The sequence below is a fragment of the Homo sapiens genome, chromosome 2 (assembly GCF_000001405.40).
Source record: "Homo sapiens chromosome 2, GRCh38.p14 Primary Assembly".
NCBI lineage: Eukaryota > Metazoa > Chordata > Mammalia > Primates > Hominidae > Homo > Homo sapiens.
The window spans coordinates 88,109,162-88,128,062 of NC_000002.12; the positions used below are offsets into that span (position 1 = coordinate 88,109,162).

Below are 18,901 nucleotides of genomic sequence, written 5' to 3' on the forward strand. Positions count from 1 at the left end.
CACATAGCGAGCTAATGGCAAAGCTAAGACTTGAAGCCTGAGTCTGTTGAATCATAACACCCCAAGCCTGGACTGAGGAAGCGTAAACAATGGGGTGTGCATGTGTGCGTGTGTGCATGCACACAGCCATTTATATTAGAAAGTATTCTGTGTAACATGGAGTGGAGTTAGGGATCACAGGCTCTGGAATCAGACCTCCAGGTTGAGTTCCAGCTTCACCGCTTTCTGGTTGTGTGATTTTGCAAATATTGAATGTATGGCTGTCAGTCTCCTCATCAGTAAAATAGGGGGAAAGGATAGGGTTGTGATGCGTGTTCATGAGTCAATGTGTGAAATGCACTTAGTGCCTGGCAAATGGTGCTGCTGATGTCCTTGGTGCTTTGAAAAGCTGGTTTATTTGAGAGTGACAGGGCTGTCCTCAGACAGTACAGTCTAGGGAAGGTGGACAGACTTTGGTGTTATAAAATGTAGGATGACTATGACATTTAGGACTGGCGTGGTCTCAGACATGGATGTCCTCTTACTATTCAGATCCCAGGTTTCCTCATCTATAAAATGGAAATAATATATTAGCCCCTTAAAATTGGCAGGAGGACCAAGTGAGGGGCAGAGAAGCGGACTAACTAGCTTTATGTTTAGGGTACCGAGCCTGTCAAAGGCAGAGCCTTTGTCAATTTTACTCACAGCTGTATCCTCGGCCTCTGAATGCCTGGCCCTTAAGAAGTATTTCTTGAATGGACATGTGGGAGGATGAGGGCTCTTCTGTGTGTCACACACTGTCATCTTCCCAACCCACGGTAAGGTATGAAGCCACAAAATGGGTGAGAAAACTGACGGCTGAAGCGATTATGTCTCTTGCCTGAGGTCCCACACTAGTATCTGCAGGGGCCAGGGTTCAAATCCAGGTCCCCACTGGGCAGTTCCTGGGAACAAGCATTCTTTTCTGAGAACGGTTCCTTCAGCTACTCTCTCAGGGTTCTGACTCCCTCTCCCTGACAAAGTGGGCCCACTGCCAGGACATTAGGCCCTTGATGAATGAGTGTGTGTGTGTGTGTGTGTGTGTGTGTGTGTGTATTCTGAGGGGGTAGAGTTGAATCTCCGTGGCTGGAAATAATTTACCCCAAGGTATATCAGAGACCAGCATGTCCTAGGGGCTTGCTATCACTGTTTACGGTGTATCTGTGTCCCACAGGCCATGCGGGTGCAGACGGAGATGGAGCTACGCATGTTCCGCCAGAACGAATTCATGTACTACAAGATGCGCGAGGCTGCCCTGAACAACCAGCCCATGCAGGTCATGGCCGAGCCCAGCAATGAGCCATCCCCAGCTCTGTTCCACAAGAAGCAATGAGGACTGCCCAGTGGAGGAGGGGCGATGTGGCTGGGGAGCTAGGGAGAGACTCTGGAGGTGGTGGGTCTCTCGGGAGACCCCTAATGAGGAAGTTGAGGTAATGCTTAACATTGTTGCTGTGAGAATTTACTGCCCTATGTTTCCCAGAGCCATTTTGGCTCAATTCAAGTCTATTCAATTCAAGTTAACTCTAGCCCAGCCCAGATCAACTCCTCCTACAAATATTATTGGATGATAGGCCCTAGAACCCAATAAAGGAGCTCCAAATGTCGTTGGGTGGGGAAGCAAAATGTAGAGAAACATTTAAAGCACACTGTAATAATAAATGCAATTATAAACTATATGGAGGAGGGTGCAGAGGAGGGAATGTGTCTGGTGTGTGATGTGTGTGTGTGCAGTGGGGGTATCACAGAGAGTATGACATCTGAGTTGAGGGTAGCAGGTGCCTGGAGTCTCAGGTGGCTGCTCACCCATCTGTGCAGGTGTCTCTGGGGCTGCTGGTCTCACCTGTGGTCTGCAGTAGACACAATTGGCTGAGCAGGATATGTGATACTGTGTGGTTGGTGTGGAGTTTTGAAGAAGGGGCTGTGTTTGGGCCACGTAGGCTCTACTCAGAGACCTGAAACCACTTCAGAATGGTGCATATGTCGAAAGAGCTGGCTGGGGGCCTTGCCCAAACCAACTGAGGTCTTAAAGTCCAGGGAAAAAAAGTCTGGGTTCCAACTAGAATTCTAGAAATATTTCTAGAACACACAGAGAGGGAATAAGTCCCTCTATCACCCTTATTACCAAGCCTTGTGGTTCCCTGTGATTTTAGATAATGTCTGATATTTTTCTGGCTATTTGCCTAGTAGGATTTAAAAAATATTTTCAAAGTGAAGCTGAGAGAGAATCTTGGAAACACACATACCTGTTGATCATGGGCCCTGCAGAATTGGCCCTTGGGGGCTTTATTTGGTTACATGTGCCTGGGTGGTCTTTACCAGCTTAGACTCTATCATGGGCCCCCATGAAGCTCCATTCTCAATACTGAATAATTATTACTTCCCTTGTTGAGTTTCTTTTTCTGTCATGCCCTGGGGGCTTCTGCTCTTCTCACCAGAAAGAACATTTGAATCTGGATTCTTGTACACCTGGGTTAGACCCTGTTCAGAGGTGTGGCCAATTTATCCCGATCTCCTGGAAGGCTGTTGTGATTTCCATCTAAGAAATGAGGGTCTTGAGAATCAACCAGTCCCAAGATTAGCCTGTTATCCTGTTATCTACTGAGACCCCAAATTTCTCACCAATGTTTTGGGAGATCCTGGAAAAGATCCCTTCAGTTTGGGGTGTCACCAAGACTTCTACACAACCCAGGACTACCATTGACCTCAGAGCTGTACCCCACATCTTGAAGTAAATTGATCCCACCAGGTCCCACGTTTGTTATCTCTGCCTAAATGTTAGCTTCTCCATCCTCACCACATGATGACCTGCTGTGTCCCTCTGAGCACTACCCAGTGGCTGAAAACTCTGCAAATGGGCCACACTTTTGCAAAATACTTGTATCTGACACTTAGGTCTTGTTTGAAGAATTTCCTTTCTGGAAGGTTTTACAAGAAGACTGATAGTCTTTCAAGCCCCCACATCACAGGCTTAGGGACGGCACTAACTTTCTCCCAGGGATCTAACTGGCTAGTTCAAATTATCACTCTTTTACCTTCATATAAAATGTCTCCCCCAAACCTTTTTCCCTTCTTTGTCATTGTTATCTGCTAAGCCCCTGGTCATTTCCCCATATTCGTAGTCTTTTTTTCCATCCTATCTTTCTAATATTTGTTGTCTTTAACAAACTGTGTTCTGTGTCTGTGCTCCTCCTTCCCTCTCAGACCACTGGAATGCAAGTCCTTCTTCCCTTTGGAATGTACTCTGGATCCCTTCCCCTGCTTTGACCCCCAGACTTTGCTCCATCTATTATTGCTTCTCCATCCTGGATCCTTGACATTTGTCACCCCACTGGCCTTCTCAGGTGCAATCAGTAAAAATGCTGAGAACTCTTGGATCTTAATCTTCATGACTGAGTTTTTTTTAGTTGTATAGTTATCATCTGCCTTTCTTCACTTTGCATTTCTTCTTGAATCCATTGCAGATTGACTTCCACTCCCACTCCTTCACTAAAAGGGCTCTTACCAAGATCAAATCTAATGGGTACATTTTAGTTCCTATGTGATTTGGCCTTTCGATGTCAATCATCACTCCCAGCCATTGATTTTGGTGACCCACTTCCCTGTGATGATCTTCTGATCTAGTTTCTCAGGTTCCTTCGCTGGTCCTTTTTCTTTCCCTGCCCCTGACATATTGACATTTCCTGGAGTTGGTTTTGTCCTTGATTCATTCTCATGTCATTCTGCACACAGTCTCTGCATGAACTCAGGCAGACCCTTCATTTAATGACCACCTTAGGGCTGATGATTCTCAAATCTGTATTCCCCGATCTTGCATTTGAGCTCCAGCCCCACTCATCCTCTCGGATGTTCTGCAGGCCCAGCAAACTCATCATGTCCAAAGTGAAACTTTTTCTCTTTCCTGTCTCCTCTCCTCTGATCTGTTCTTTCTTGGAACACCACCCAAGAACGTCACCTCCTCCATCAGATTGTGAGCTCCTGGAGGGCAGGAGCTGTGTCCTTCTATTCATCTTCCTATCCCCAGAACCTTGCACAGATCCTGGAATGTGGTAGGTGCTCAGTAAATGTGTGTTGAATAAATGAATGAATGAATGAACAAATGAATGAATTTGCTTACTTCAAGGCAAAAGAACCATGAAACTGTATTTTGAGTTTCTATGTTATAGCAGTCAGCAAATCCTATTAAATACTTTGTGTTTCCAAGCAAATAAGTGTGGCTTCTTTCTTTCTGACAATCTTTTTAGAGCAGCGCTGTCTAATGGAATTTTCTGTGATGATGGAAATGTATTATATCTGTGTTGTCCAGTACAGTACAGTAGCCACTAGCAGCTTGTGACTATTGAGCACTGGAATATGATTGAAGAACAGAATTTTAAATGTTATTTAATTTCAACTAATTTATACATAGTTAGCCAATGTGGCTAGTGGCTACCACATTAGAGTGTGCAATTTTAGAGAAATACTTCAGTGTCATTTCTAAGAACATGGACACTAAGAAAAACAGTCTAAGTTTGTCTTTATCCCAGCTTTCCTAATCTTATCCTTGTGACCTTAGACTAGTTATTTCACCCATGCCTCAGTTTCCTGACTTCTACCTAGCATAAGTTTACTGTGAGGACTAACTTTTTAAAGAGTAAAGCCCTGAGAACCCAACCCATCATATGTGCTTAGTGACTATTATTAGCTATTATTACACTTTGAGCATTCCAACCTTGCTTCTCCTGGGAAGTTCCTTCTCCCAGTTAGAAGATGAAGGTGAAGGGTTGAGGCAAGCAGGGGTGTGATGGAACTAGCTCTTATCAGCTTGGGAGAGCCGGCAGGGCACATCTCTTCCCAACTCTACATTCATCAACATCACACTGATAACTTAAAATTGGCCATGGTGGGAATATTTAAACCATGGTAATGGCCTAACTTCAGAACACATTAATTTGCAGTGTTGTCAATCTATAAAGGAGCTTCACTACATGGGAGTAGCAAAATAGATAGTAGAAAGATCATTAAAGAAGTCTTCACTTAAACTGGGGTGAAATATGCATCCTGAAACCTCTATTCCTTAGGGCCATGCCAAGCAAGTCTAAGACCTCTGATTACCCTTTAGATGAAGCCATCTGCCCACTGCACCATCAATGTATTGACAAATACATGTATTAAAGGGCAGACATAGCCATTGCTTGGGTGAGTCACAGAGTGTACTTCTCTAAAGGATACCAAAGGGAAAAATATAGTTGGGGGCACATACCAGAGAGAATACCAACATTTCTTCTTATTATTTTTTTAGAGACAGGGTCTCCCTTTGTCACCTAGGCTGGAGTGCAGCGGAGCGATCATGGCTCATTGCAGTCTCGACCTCCCAGGTTCAAACGATTCTCCCACCTCAGCCTCCCAAGCAGCTGGGACCACAAGGCGTGCACTACCACCCCTGGCTAATTTATTTATTTTGTAAAGTTGAGGTTTCACCATGCTGTGCAGGCTGGTCTCAATCTCCTGAGCTCAACTGATTCACCTGCCTGGGCCTCCCAAAGTGCTAGGATTACAGGTGTGAGCCACTGCACCTGGCCAAGAATAACATTTCTGAGGGCAGTTGGAGGTCCAAGCTTCTGGACCAAGGCGTGCACAATTGTGGATAACATCCAGTGCATGAAAGTAAACAGCCCTTCTAGAAGCTCCCTGCCCCTCCTGGCCCAGCATTAATTACATTCACATCCCAGTCTCAACTGGGCCAGGAGGACTCCTCTGTCGTAGAGAAGTACAATAGGCAGCACGGCTGTAAGCCATGGTACTGTTTTGCTCACTCTGGCAGACACTCAGTCCTCATTTCCCAGTCCTGGCCTCCCCAGCTCACGAAGCTTGGTCTGAAAACAATCTGGCCCAAGCACAATGCTACAGTTCCCCAGATGTCTTTAGGAGTTGTGTTTATTTCCCATGGCTGCTGGAACAAATTAACACACACATTTTGTAGCTTAAAACAACACAGATATATCATCTTTCAGTTCTAGAGGTCAGAAGTCCAAAATGGGTGTCACGGGGCTAACATCAAGGCACTAGCAGGGCTGTGTTCCTTCTGAAGGCTCCAGGAGAGCAAGCGTCTTCCTCTAAAATGCCCACATTCCTTGGCAGTGGCCCCCAGCCAGCAATCACATCACTCTGACTCTCCTTCTGTCATCATGTCTCCTCTGCCCCTCCTGCCTTCCTCTTTTACTGATAAGGACCCTTGTGATTCCATTGGATCCACTAGGATCATCCAGAATAATCTCCCTATCTCAAGGTCCTTACCTTAATCACATCTGCAAAATCCCCTTTGTCATGTAAGGTAACACATAAACAGGACTGGGAATTAGGACATGGACTGTTTGGGGGACTTCATTCTGCTTACCACAGCAGTCTTGCTATCGAGTCCTCGGACCCGCCATGCATCCACAGTTGCAAGCCTCTGAGCAGAAGACCTGGGACTTGAATCCTGCAGTCCAGACCCCTGGAGAATGAATATTCCTTTCCATACAGCTCTTTGATGGCCATGTCCAGTTTGCCTTCTTTGTCTTCCCTGTTCACCAAGGCAGGGTTTTAAAATTCTCCCTTTGTAGGTCACAGCCCTTTCTCACTGCTTCCCTTCTGCTCATCTGTGCTGGGCAGGTGTGGAATCGCTTTACAGACCCAGCACCTTTCTGGGGAATGGCCAAGAGCTGGGACAGTGCAAGGGACTACAATTTGAGGCAGCAGATAGAATTCTAGATATGTGGTTTGTGTCCGTCAGTGGCACTTATATTTGGCCTTGGTGGACACTTTCCAGCCCTTTCTCTAGGGACACTGCTCTGCACCAGGAGGCTCTGAGGAGGCGGTTCAGGAGAGGCTGGTGCAGGATGGAGCCTGAACCTGTTACAGCACAGCATTTCCTGACACACAGTCATGGCCCATGAGTCAATGGAGTGCCGGTAGAGATTTAAAAACAATGTGAACAAGAGCCCTGATCTGTAGCATTTGCCGATTTCCTTGGTGTAAACACTCCCGCGAAGGCCGATGTCAAATGCTAAGCTGTATGCTGAATCGGCACCTGGGACTAGGTGGCTCCAACCATACTGCTTGTGACTGAAGCCAGGCAATTGGACCCTTGTTAGGCAACCCTTTCCCTTCTGAACTGGAGGAGGAGGAGTCCTTGCTGTTCTCTAGGAATGCAAGCTTTGTTTGTGACCATGGAGGTGCTGACAATCATACTCTCTGCCATGTGGAGAGGCCCCGGAGACCACAGCTTATATTGATGGAGAAATATTGAGTTGTTATGCAGCTTTGGATCCGTCTGTCCCTTCTAGTTCTATGAGCTAGTGAACCATGTTCCCCCTGCCCCATTTTTATTTTTGACCTAACCCATTTGGGTGGATTTCTTTCACTTGCAACTGAAGGAGTTCCCATTGTGCTGGTTTTTCTCCATTTCTCCCACAGGCCTTCTCCACTCTTCTCTGCCCTGCTTTGTGTCAGAAAGGCTGACTTCTTCTTTCTCATTTAACCAATAAGAAGCACCAGCAGGAGACTGGAATGCAGAAAGACACCCCCGACAACTGCCCAGCCAGCGGTCCAGCTCCCATTGGGTGGTTGTCCTACGGCTCTAGGTCTCCCTGGGCTCCGGTAACGCTGTCCCCTGCATTGTCTCTTCAGGTCTACAGGTGGTGGTGGCTTCCTGCATTGCCGGCTAGGCGCCTCAGCTACCTAATGGGTTCCCTTTACTCTAACCACATCTTTGTAAATAGTCCTTTTGTTACCAGTGGCAAATCCGAATGGGTCCACAGCAGTGTGATTCTTGCCTCCCGAGAGGAAAGCATTCGTCTGAGGGGCATAAGTCAGAGTGAAAGACTGAGGCAAGTTTTAGAGCAGGAACGAAAGGTAAAGTACATTTGGAAGAGGACCAAGCGGGGGACTTGAGAGATCCAAGTGCCCTGTTTGACCTTTGATCTGGGGTTTTATATGTTGGCATGCTCCTGGGTTTTTGTGTCTCTCCTCCCCTGATTTTTCTTTGGGGCAGGCTGTCCGCATGTGCAGTGGCCTGCCAGCACTTGGGCGGGGCTGCACGCGCAGTGTGTTTACTGGAGTTGCGCACATGCTCATCTGAGGTGTTTTTTTCCTCACTAGTTGAAGGTTCCTAGAGGAAGGTCATGTATTAGTTAAGCTCCGCCATTTTGTCTCTTAATGAACATGCTTGAACCCACTTGCCCAAATCCTGAGCTCTTATTGGGAAGCTGCTGACCACCATCTTAAGGGATTTTCTATCTATTGGGAGACTGCTTTTCCCTGGCGCTGGCTGTGACCAATTATTATTTTAGAGAGACAGTTTAACAACTACCTGACCATCACCTGATGATTGCCTGACATTCCTTGGTGGGGGGCCCTCTCCTGCCCTGCTCATGTCTACCTAGCTACCTACTCTAACACTTTCATTAAATTCTCACAGTGTGCGTTAGTTCCTGCTGATACATCTTAACTGATACATCTTGCTAACGCACATCCCAGGTCTAGTAACTAGAGCCCGTGGATTCTAATTCCTAAATATGCTTAAACCTTTTGCTATGTTCCGTCCTCATGGGCACGGCTTTGGTTGAGGCCCCCAGCATCTCTTGCCTGGACCATTGCCTCTCTCTATTCAGCTTTGGTTCTTTTCACTGGTCCTTGACACTGTGGCCAGAAAAATTTTTTTTACAAACCATTTAGTATCATGTTACTCTTAGAGCTTAAAACCCCTCAATGATTCTCTACTGTCTTCAGGATCAAATTCAGACTCATTGCTAGAGTCATAGGATACTCATGGTAGAGATTCTGTTCCTTCTCTGCCTCCTCTTCTGCCAAGCCCCATTTATACACATCTCCCTGTGAAGCAAATACCCTTAGATGCTTTCATACCGCCTCTGAGATGTTTTTTCTAGGCACCACCCCTATCCGGTCTGCAGCAGGGGCTGGAGCTAGTACCCACCTGCATCACAGTGGATGACACTGTCACGCTTATGGTCCCACTGACAGTGAGTCACCCGGGGATCACTGTATCCTCAGGGCTTAGCACTGCCCAGCCCTGCTTTGGCTGAAAGAGGCTAGGCTATGTGGAGAAGATGCATTTAATTCCACATCTCCATGTTTTTCTAGTAAAACATGCTACAAAATCATGGGATGGTCAACATGCCTCTGGTGTATACAGAAAAAGTGCTCTGAAGATAAAGCATGGACTAAGTTAGGCAGCACCCCCGCCCCTTCCCCTGCCCACCAATCACTGTACTTACTCTAATGGCAGTGAGTTTTAAAAAAAAAGGAAATAAAAGGCTACTTTTGTGTGGACATAGATATCCAAACTGGCTCTTTGCAAATTAATGGTCTGTCACCGGGAAACAGCACTTTCTGTTGGTGGGATGCCCACAGGACAGGCAGAGAGGAGGCGTGGAGGGTCCCGAAGTGCGGGAGGGGTCAAGGTAAAAATAGCCCACACCATCAACAGCTGTTTATTCCATTTATTTAAGCAGGCTTCCGGCCCAAAGTTCTCTGGGCACCTGTACAAAATCTAAATTCAACATATAAAATTAATTCTCCTTTTCAGGAAAAAGCACAAACAATCCCCTCAAAAACCCATAGATGTTCTCAGGGGAAGAACCCCTTTAGCGGGGAGACTGGGAATTTTGTCAGATCCCTGGAAGCTTTGCTGAGAAGACCTTGTCTGCATTACTTTCTTCTCCCATGACTCCAGAGTCAAAGCACCTCAGTGCCACTGTCTGTCGGCTTGGTGGGCCAGAGCAAACCTCTTTTCCTCCCTGAGCCTCTGCATCTGTTCTCAGAGGTTCACTTCTCTGGGCACCACAGCTTCTGCTAACAATCTCAGTATCAAACCCAACTGACATCCCCTGAGGAATCTGAGAATGGAAATAATGACATGTTTTATTTGGATGGCATTTGGCTTGCATCATTTCATGGGCTCCTTACAAAAGCCACGAGGGAAGGGATTGTCTTACCCATTTTACAGGAGAGAAAGCTGAGGTCCACAGTTGTAGATTAGTTAACTAGAACCATGTCTTCATGCCCAATATTTTTACTTTGTCATCTGCCTTTAAAAAAATTTATTGCTCATAAAAAATAATAGTTTCACAAAATGAGTTCTTTGCAGAAGATTCAAACGATATAAATAATGCAAAAAGCTCTCGACCTCCCACCAGTTCTGTTCCCAGAGGTAATGGCTATTATTTGGTGTTCTGGATAATGATGTCCAACTATTAGATTTTTTTTCTATGAGTTCACATACATAGATGTATCAACATAATTTTGTTTCATGTTTTAACAACATTTATTTGAATATAGTATACTGTCAATATTATTTCTAAAACTTAGTTTTTAAAAGAAACGCTTTGTCTTAGAGATACTTCTATGTCAGTACATACAGATCTACTTCATTGGTTTACTCTATTGTAGGTTATGACAGAGTATGGCTGTACCACAGTTAATCGAACCCTGTTTTTACTGAGGAGCATTTGTTTCCAGTTTTTGGCGATTACATCCTTTATTCGCTTCTTGTGCATGTGTGTAAACTCTCCTTAAGGGAGACACAACAGTGGCTTTGCTAGGTTTTAGGGACTTCACATTGAAAATATTAATGGATGCTGTCAAAGTTGCTCCATATGGGGTTCACCACTTTATATATATATATATATATATTTTTTTTTAATTTTATTTATTTTTTTGAGACAGAGTCTTGCTCTGTTGCTGAGCCTGAAGTGCAATGGCGTGATCTCGGCTCACTGCAACCTTCGCCTCCCGGGTTCAAGCAATTCTCCTACCTCAGCATCCCGAGCAGCTGGAATTACAGGTGCCCGCCACCATGCCCAGCTAATTTTTGTATTTTCAGTAGAGGTGAGGTTTCACCATATTGGCCAGGCTGGTCTCTTGGCCAGGCTGGTCTCGAACTCCTGGCCTCAGGTGATCTGCCTGCCTCGGCCTCCCAAAGTGCTGGGATTACAGGCATCAGCCACCAATCCCAGCCCACCACTTTATATCTTTACCACCAAAGGCAGAGCTCATCACATCCTTATAAACCCCAGGTGTTATCAACCTTTTAATTTTTTACTAGTTTGATTTTTTAAATGGTACCTCATCTTGTATCCCTCCTCCCTGGTTACTACAAGACTAAACGTATTTTATATTGTGAGATGTCTGTTAATGTCCTTAACTCACCTTTCCATTGACTTGTTGATTTTCTTTTTGATTTGGGGAATATTTTTATATCTATTAACCTTTGTTATGTAAGCCACACCTTTTTTTGAAACTATGTTTATGGTGCCTTTTTTATATAAAACTTTAAGTTTTTGAGGTAGTCAAATTTATTAATCTTTTCCTAGATGGTTTTTGCATAAAAAATCTGGTATAAAAAAGTCTTCTATAATTGGAAGCTATCTACAGTCATATCTATCTCTAACATTTCATATTTATTTAGCTTGTTATTTATTTATTTTTATTATTTTTTTTTTGAGATGGAATCTCGCTCTGTCTCCTAGGCTGGAGTGCAGTGGTGCCATCTTGGCTCACTGCAATCTCCACCTCCTAGGTTCAAGCAATTCTTCTGCCTCAGCCTCCCGAGTAGCTGGGATTACAGGCACCCACCATCATGCCTGGCTAATTTTTTGTATTTTTAGTAGAGACAGGGTTTCACCATGTTGGTCAGGCTGGTTTCAAACTCCTGACCTCAAGTGATCCACCTGCCTTGGCCTCCCAAAGTGCTGGGATTACAGGCTTGAGCCACTGCGCCTGGCCTATTTAGCTTTTTAGTTCATCTGGAGTTTACTTTTGTGAATGGCATATCATAGTGTGCTGTTGTTTTCTTGCTCCCTGTAACTCCCAACTCTGACTTCTTACTGAAGTAATATCATTCTCTAAAGGCAGACTGAAACTGTTTCCTTCAGTCTGCCTTAGTTCTCCAAATAATGGATCTGTTTCTTCCTCAAGGCTGAGAAGAAGTCTCAGGTGAGAGAAGGAGAACAAATATATGGAGAAAATAATAGTGCGAGGCAGGAGGAACGGCATTGCAAAGACTGGTCCAGATAAAACGGCAGAGAGAGGGAGAGAGCACTTTCAGCGGAGCAGTTTGGGAAGACATCTCACAGCAGGTGGTGCTTGAATTGTGAGGGGAGTGGAAGGTTGTTTAGTTCGATTAGAATGTATATTACAGGCTAAAAGAGGTTGGACAGGCTATGACTGTAGGAGTCAGCATCCTTTCAGTTCACAGGCCAAATCTGGCTGCCACCTGTTTCTATACAAGGTACAAACTAATAATGGTTTCCACATGTTCAAATGGTGGAACAAATTAAAAGAAGAGTAATAGTTTATGATGTACAAGTTATATGAAATTCAAATTTCAGTGCTGGTAGAGTTTTGTTGGAACACAGCCACACCATTTGGATGTGGCTGCTTTTGCACTGCAATGGCAGAAATAAGTATTTGTGACAGAGACCAAATGGCCCGCAGAGCTGAGAAAATGTATTCTCTGGATCTTTACAGAAAAAGTTTGCTGACCCATGATATAGGGGCTTGGATGCCAGATTTAGGAGTGTGACTGTTACGTGCTGGACAATGAGGTAGGATGCATTATGGTTGGTGGCCTGTTTAAGGAGGAGGACGCTGTTGTGGGCTGGAGAGTTGCAGGTGAGAGTGGGGCAGGGAGGTGCTACAGGTGGCCTGGGAAACAATCCAAGTAACAAGTAATAGTTTCAACTCTAGAAGTGGGAAGAGAAGAGGGGGAATGTGAATGATTCAGTCATTCATCAAGGCTTACAGTTCTGGGTGCCGAACGGTCTTGTGAAGGTAGAAATGGCAGCTCTGAGGGGTATGAGTACTGTTATTAATTTGCTAGGACTGCCATTGTACCACAAACTGGGAGGCTTAAACAACAGAAATGTATTATCTCACAATTCTGGAGGCCATTAACCTAAGATCAAGGTGACAGCAGGGCCATGCCCCCTCTGGAGGAGTTAGGGAAGGATCTGGTCCAGGACTCTCTCTCAGCTTCGAACAGTTCCTTGATTTGTGGCAGCATAGCTCTAGTCTTCACATGGACACTCCCCATGTGCATGTCTCTGTGTCCAAGTTTCCCCCTTTTATAAGGACGCCAGACATAGTGGATTAGGGGCCCACCTATGGTCATTTGCAATGACCTTATTTCCAAATGAAGTCACATTACAAGATACCGGGGGCTAGAACTTCAACATATAAATTTTGGGGGAATGCAACTCAACCCCTAACAGTTTGGCATAAAGTAGTGTTGAAGGGACTCCTCCCCTTCCTCTACCTTCTGCCCCTGCCCATAGCATGGAGGGAACTTCCACTGAGCCTCCTCTGTCCACTTCTGGCGCCTCTCACTAAGCCCTTTGCTCAGCCTCCCACAGGAGGAAAAGTTTATTGGGCGGGTCAGTGTCGACCTTTCTGCACCTGTCTGCTGGTGGGCTGGTACTGTGGCTGTGCTTGTGGGTATAGCTCTCCTTTTCTGCCCAGTCTTCCTGCTCCCTGTCCCCACAGAGAGCACCCTCAAGGCCAGCCCACTGCACATCCTCTGGCTCCAGCTCCTTGCCCGTGTGCCTGACTGGGAAAGGGCATTCCAGGGCCTTCCTGCAGATCTAGCCACACCTGGCTTTCCTGGCAGAACACCTGGGTGTGCAGCATGGGTTTTGTGTTCAGGGAATTACTCTTCGGATTTGACCTGGTAGTGTGGATCATGTGGATTATCAACATTTACGAAAGTATATTTACGAGAATATGGTGAGCAATAGCACCATCAATGAAAAGGCATTGAGAAGACATTTTTTTTTAAAACAAAGTTCACTTTATTACATTAATTTTACACACTAAAATAATATGAAATGCAGACTTGTTTAAATTCTCTTGCTGATTCTCTTGAAGACAATGTCACCCAATGTCATGGTCTGAAAGCCAGAAAAGAAATTATGAAGTGTTCATCTGATGTTGTATTGTAAAAAACAAAATTAAGCATAAAAAACAAAATTAAGCTTAAAAAACAGCACCAAATATGTTGGCATATGAAACAATTCAAAAATTCGTCTGGTTTCCTGTAGGACCGGAGGAAAGGTTGGCAATGTTTTCCAAAATCCTATGCCAAGTCTTTGTCACTTCTCCTCCTCACCTGGAAAGTCCTCCTGCCTTTGACTGAATTCTTTTCTACATCAATGACTGTTATAGCAAGACCATCCAAACCAGCCCAATCTAATTTCTCAAAATTTCATTGAGTACCTACTATGCACCAAATACATGTTGAGCACCAAGGATACATGTACATGGACACAACTAGGCACACAGCCTGGAAGGCAGTGGGTAGTGCATAATTGTCCTCCTATAGCTGTGAAGCATATAAAAACAGTGGATGCATCAGCTTTTGAGTTTTTAAGGATGTTTCCTCCACCCCTGCCAGTTCTCTTGAATAAGACTGCTGGAATGACATACCATGTCATCAGGGTGAAAAGGAGCCCCTCAGTTTCAGCAGCAATGCAATAGTTGCTGCTTGATGGGTTTGAGCCCTGGATTTAACATTTATTAGCTGATGACTTGGACAGGTCAACCTGTCTATTGAATCCCTCATCCAGCCTCCCTCGAAGGAGACAGGAGGATTAGGTGAGATGGAACCTATCAAAGGGCGTTGGCCAGGACTTACTGCAGGATAGCTCATCTCCTGCTCCCCTGCTCTCCTGGGAATGTGCTGGGGCGGAGGTGGAAACTGCACATTGGGTGGTTGATGCTCACACTCTCTCTAGTTTAAGAATTTTTCCATTTGAATAGAGTGATGACAGCGCCCTGAGGCAGTGTTCTGTTGTCTGTGACTCCCTAAAGCATATTCTGGGGGCAAAGAAGAGTCAGGGGGACATACCTGCAGGAGAAACACTGCACCATTCACCCCCAAATAGGGTACAGGATGTGGCTGGCAGCCAGGCACCAAGGCTGACTGCATAACTGGACTGTGCCAGGCTTGTAAGCTGCCATAATATGACCATGAATGGGATTCTCTTTATAAACGCTAAATGGGCAAAGGCATTTATGAAGCACCCTGGGCATGCAGGGCAGGTGGAGGCCTCTGTGGCTGGTTGGTTGCGCTGAGCAGAAAGGATTAGTGATAATGTGTGTAAACTGCCTGGGACATGATGGATCCTCAGTAAGTGCTGGCAGATACTGACCACAGGAAAGAAGTTTGGGGGTTGGAGGGTGGAGGGGTGGCATTAGGGTATGTGAGCCGCTCCCCATGCTTCACCTCCCCTCTCCCCTCAAGCACTGGGAGCCACACGCTCAGAGCACCACCAACTTACATTGGTGATTATGTCGCCGTTGAGTTCGGTCACAGACTTGATGTTTTTGAAAGTTGTCACCAGTTTATTGTCACCTTCCAACTGAACCACTGTCTGCAGGGAACAGAGAGGTGACCTGTGAGGAAGGGGTGGTGGGGGGCAAGAGCCTTGCTAATGAAGTTGCTTCCTTTGCACAGGTCTCAGCTCATAACAACCAAAATGCTCTGGTTCCTATGATCCCAAGCCTCTAGTTCTCTGGCTCCAAATAGAAGTGAGGTGCATTTAAGAACTAAATAAAATGTCACGACTTCTTTTGTCAGAACTTTAATTCATGGCATGTGATCTAGAAATGAGCATGGAACACCTAAGTGGCCCCAAATACAAATGCTAAAATCAAATCAAGTAAAATCTCAATTCTCCCAAGCTAATGGAGGGAGGTAGTGGCAAAATTCAAATATTGACCAGTAGAGAATACATATTTTGCTTTGGTATGTATTCTTCTTTTTTTTTTTTTTTTAATTGAGATGAGGTCTTGCTATGTTGCCCAGGCTGGTCTTGAACTCCTAGGCTCAAACAGTCCTTTCACTTCAGCCTCCCAAAGTGCTGGGATTGTAGGCATGAGCCACCCGCCCAACCAGGTATGTATTATTCTTCCCAGAGCGTTAACTTTTCATATTGTGGCCTCCTTCCAAGCCCTTATACATCCTGGAAGAGATGACAGGAACCCAGCAGGGAGCCAAAGACCCTGGGCAACATTAAACATTTTGCCTCCAAAAAGAAAATTTGGAAAAGGCCCATAGTTAAATCCCTTGACCATGAGCACATCAAGAATATTATCCTCCTAAAATCATCCTGACCTGTAATGTTCTAATTGGAGAGGCAGAAATAAAGAGTGACCAGAAGAGATAAAAAGCAAACACGCCCAGCCCAATGAACAGAGCTGTCCACGGGGAGGAGAGAAGAGGGCTGCTAGAGCATGGAGTGTTTCAGAGGGAGGAGGAGACGGGCACCCCCATTGCCAGGATCCCCCTGCCACCATCTGCCAACCACTCACACAGCCCACACCCCAGCTGTCATTGCACACCATGAGTTGTGCCCAGCAGAAGTGATGCTGCCCTGCACTGCCTTCAGTCTAGGGAGGTTGACTGTTCTTATTTTACAGATGGGGTGGCTGAAGCCAGAGACTTTGTGACCACCCCTGAAGGCAGGGTCTGAGCACCTGTCTGGGGCCCTGGTATTCTGGTATTGCTAGCACCTCCTTCAAGAAGTCTCTCCCTATCACCACCAGCTCTAGGTTCAGTGAAGGCCAGTTGACTTTGGGCTCAGTTAAGGGTTTTTCACAAACTCCCACTTGCCCCACTCCTGGGCCCTGCTTAGAGGACTCTTAGTGCTAGGAGCACTGGGCCTGGGAGAACCTGAGACTTAGAATCCTGCTGTATGCCTGGTTCTCCCATATCCTCCATATGGGAGAGCTCAGACTTTAGGGGCTGGAACACCCCCCAGACAGTCCCTGGGAAGAGGAGAGCAGCTTCTCTATAAGATTCTTCCCTAAGAGCTGCCTTTGTCTCTCTGCTTCTCCCACATGGGAGGTGGGTTCAGAGATGGTATCTGTGGGTGGAATTGTGAGGTTTGAGCCTTGAGGAATGAGGTCCCAGGGCCAGGTTCCAAGGAAAGTTCTGACAGCAGAAGGGATGCCCTCCTACCTTGACTTTCTCCCCTGTCATTGTCTCCAGCTCACATTCCTCCCCCACCGTGAATTCGTTTTGGATCACTTTGGACCCAGCGGTGATGGTGAACTTGAAGTGCTTCCCATTCTGCACGATTTCCGACACCCCCTTGATATCCTTCCCCTTCTGGATGAGCTCTTCCGGCAGACCTGGTGGAAACCGTCTGAGGTTTAGATATGGGCAGAGGTGGGAGTTTCATGACCGTGGTAGGTAGGTGAGAGAAACGACATGACATGGAGGGACAGAGAAGGGCACTGTGTCTCCCAAGGGGCCACAGAAACTCACTGGGGGCTTGTCAGCAGCATCGGCTGTGGCCTCAGAAAGGAAGGGACAGTGACCTGGCCTGGCCTGCTGCTATCTTGCCAGTCAATTTATAAAAAGGACACTCTTCTGGCCTGAAGAACCGTTCCTCTTGTAAGCACCCTGGTTCTTGCTCACTCTCCTTCCTCATTCCCTCCTCCTTTGATGACTTTGCTCTTGGAGTGTGAGCATTTCATTCCCCATACCCCTGGTGACCAGAGAGTTGATCTTCCAAGCTAGGTCCCTCCTGCAAGTGAAAGGGGAGCTGCTGATAATCATGCCAGGCCAACATACACAAAGCGGCACTGTGCCAGGCAAGCCTGTGTCCACCTCTGCAGTCAAGGCTCTGGAGGAAGACATACCAGCAATCCCTTGCCCTGGGATAGAGCTTTACCAGTTTCAGAACTTGTCTATGCTGTTATACAAATTGAGGTTCACAAAAATTTTGTGGGTGGACAGTGAGCACAGAGGGTCCTGTTGCATGAGGGAGAGATGAGAGACACAGAGGTGGTATGGCTTGCCTGCAGAAGATCCTTCTCTGGCAGCACTGAAGGTCCTTCTCTCCCTGCCCCTGCTGTCTTCAGCACCCTTCTCATTCTTGGCACCCTCCCTTGCCATGCCACACCCTTTGCTTATAGGGCTCCCTCTGCCTGGAGCATGCTCCCTGCCCCCAGTTCCCTAGACACCTGTCTTCCAAAGCTCAGCCTGAGCCTTCTCTTTACCTCCACTGAGCCATCCCCCCATGCTCTCTGTGAGCCACATCCTCCTGTACATGACCCTAGGAGGCACAGGGGTTAAAGCAGGGTCTCTGAGAACCAGTGCCTGCTTCCAATCCTAACTTAAACACTTCCTACTTGCATGACCTTGCTTGTGATTACTAAACCTTTCTGGGCTTCAGTTGCATTAACTGTAAAGTGGGAAAATAATGGTACCCAGCTTAGTTTTTTGGCAAGGAATAGATGGGGTATTGCATATCCCATGGTCAGCACAGTCGCCTGGCACAGTCAGCGCTCCATACACCTGAGGGAATGCCTTATTACCTTTATTTCTTCTCTTCTCTTCCCTGATAAGAAAATGCCTTATTGCCTTTATCATCTGTCTCCCTGGTATCTATCCAGCACAGTGCTCAGTGTGTGGTTGGCCTTGAATCACTGTTTGTTTGAAGAATGAATAAATGCAGGAATAGGATCACACAACGAAGTGCCAATGACATGGCCATCAATCCAGACCACACCCTAGTTCAGTGCTCTTTCCACTTGCCTATGGGGTGGCCTTGTGCAGTGAGGACTTGCTGCAAATAACTCCAGAAGTCAGTAAAATGCCCCCTAGTTTGTGTATATAGCCTGAATCTCTCCCCCCATCTCAACATTTGGACCCTAAATAGCCACTGCTGGTAGAGCTAGACCCTCACTGATGTGACCCACAGCTTTGCCTTTCAGTCCAGCACTCACCGATTGCCTTCATGAAGGCTTCAAAGTTTTCCTGGCTCTGCAGTTGGTACTTGCCGGAGAAACTCATGGTGGCAATAGAGCTCCCTCTTCACGACTGACCTGCGGCTCTGCC

At 46.2% G+C, this 18,901-nt stretch overlaps 2 protein-coding genes across 3 annotated transcripts in view, besides 1 other annotated feature; one reads left to right on the top strand and one right to left on the bottom strand.

The window, feature by feature from the left end:
• SMYD1 (SET and MYND domain containing 1) overlaps nt 1–4,223 on the top strand; it is a 45,560-nt gene extending 41,337 nt beyond the window's left edge. For both annotated transcript variants that reach the window (NM_198274.4, NM_001330364.2), the window contains one exon: nt 1,193–4,223. In NM_198274.4, coding sequence (NP_938015.1) covers nt 1,193–1,351 — 159 coding nt within the window. In that variant the 3' untranslated portion in view covers nt 1,352–4,223. The remainder of the gene's footprint in view (nt 1–1,192) is intronic.
• Nucleotides 13,309–13,603: a silencer, noted in NCBI's record as "tiled region #11659; K562 Repressive non-DNase unmatched - State 21:Repr". NCBI's record gives its function as "represses a minimal TATA promoter and a strong SV40 promoter by Sharpr-MPRA in K562 cells {active_cell/tissue: K562}" and the evidence as "EXISTENCE:reporter gene assay evidence [ECO:0000049][PMID:27701403]".
• FABP1 (fatty acid binding protein 1) lies at nt 13,821–18,901 on the bottom strand. Its single transcript, NM_001443.3, has 4 exons — nt 18,790–18,901; nt 17,015–17,187; nt 15,333–15,425; nt 13,821–13,943 (listed from the first exon to the last, which is right to left on the bottom strand). The coding sequence occupies exons 1-4, from the start codon at nt 18,854–18,856 to the stop codon at nt 13,893–13,895; spliced, it is 384 nt and encodes a 127-aa protein (NP_001434.1). The 5' UTR covers nt 18,857–18,901; the 3' UTR covers nt 13,821–13,892.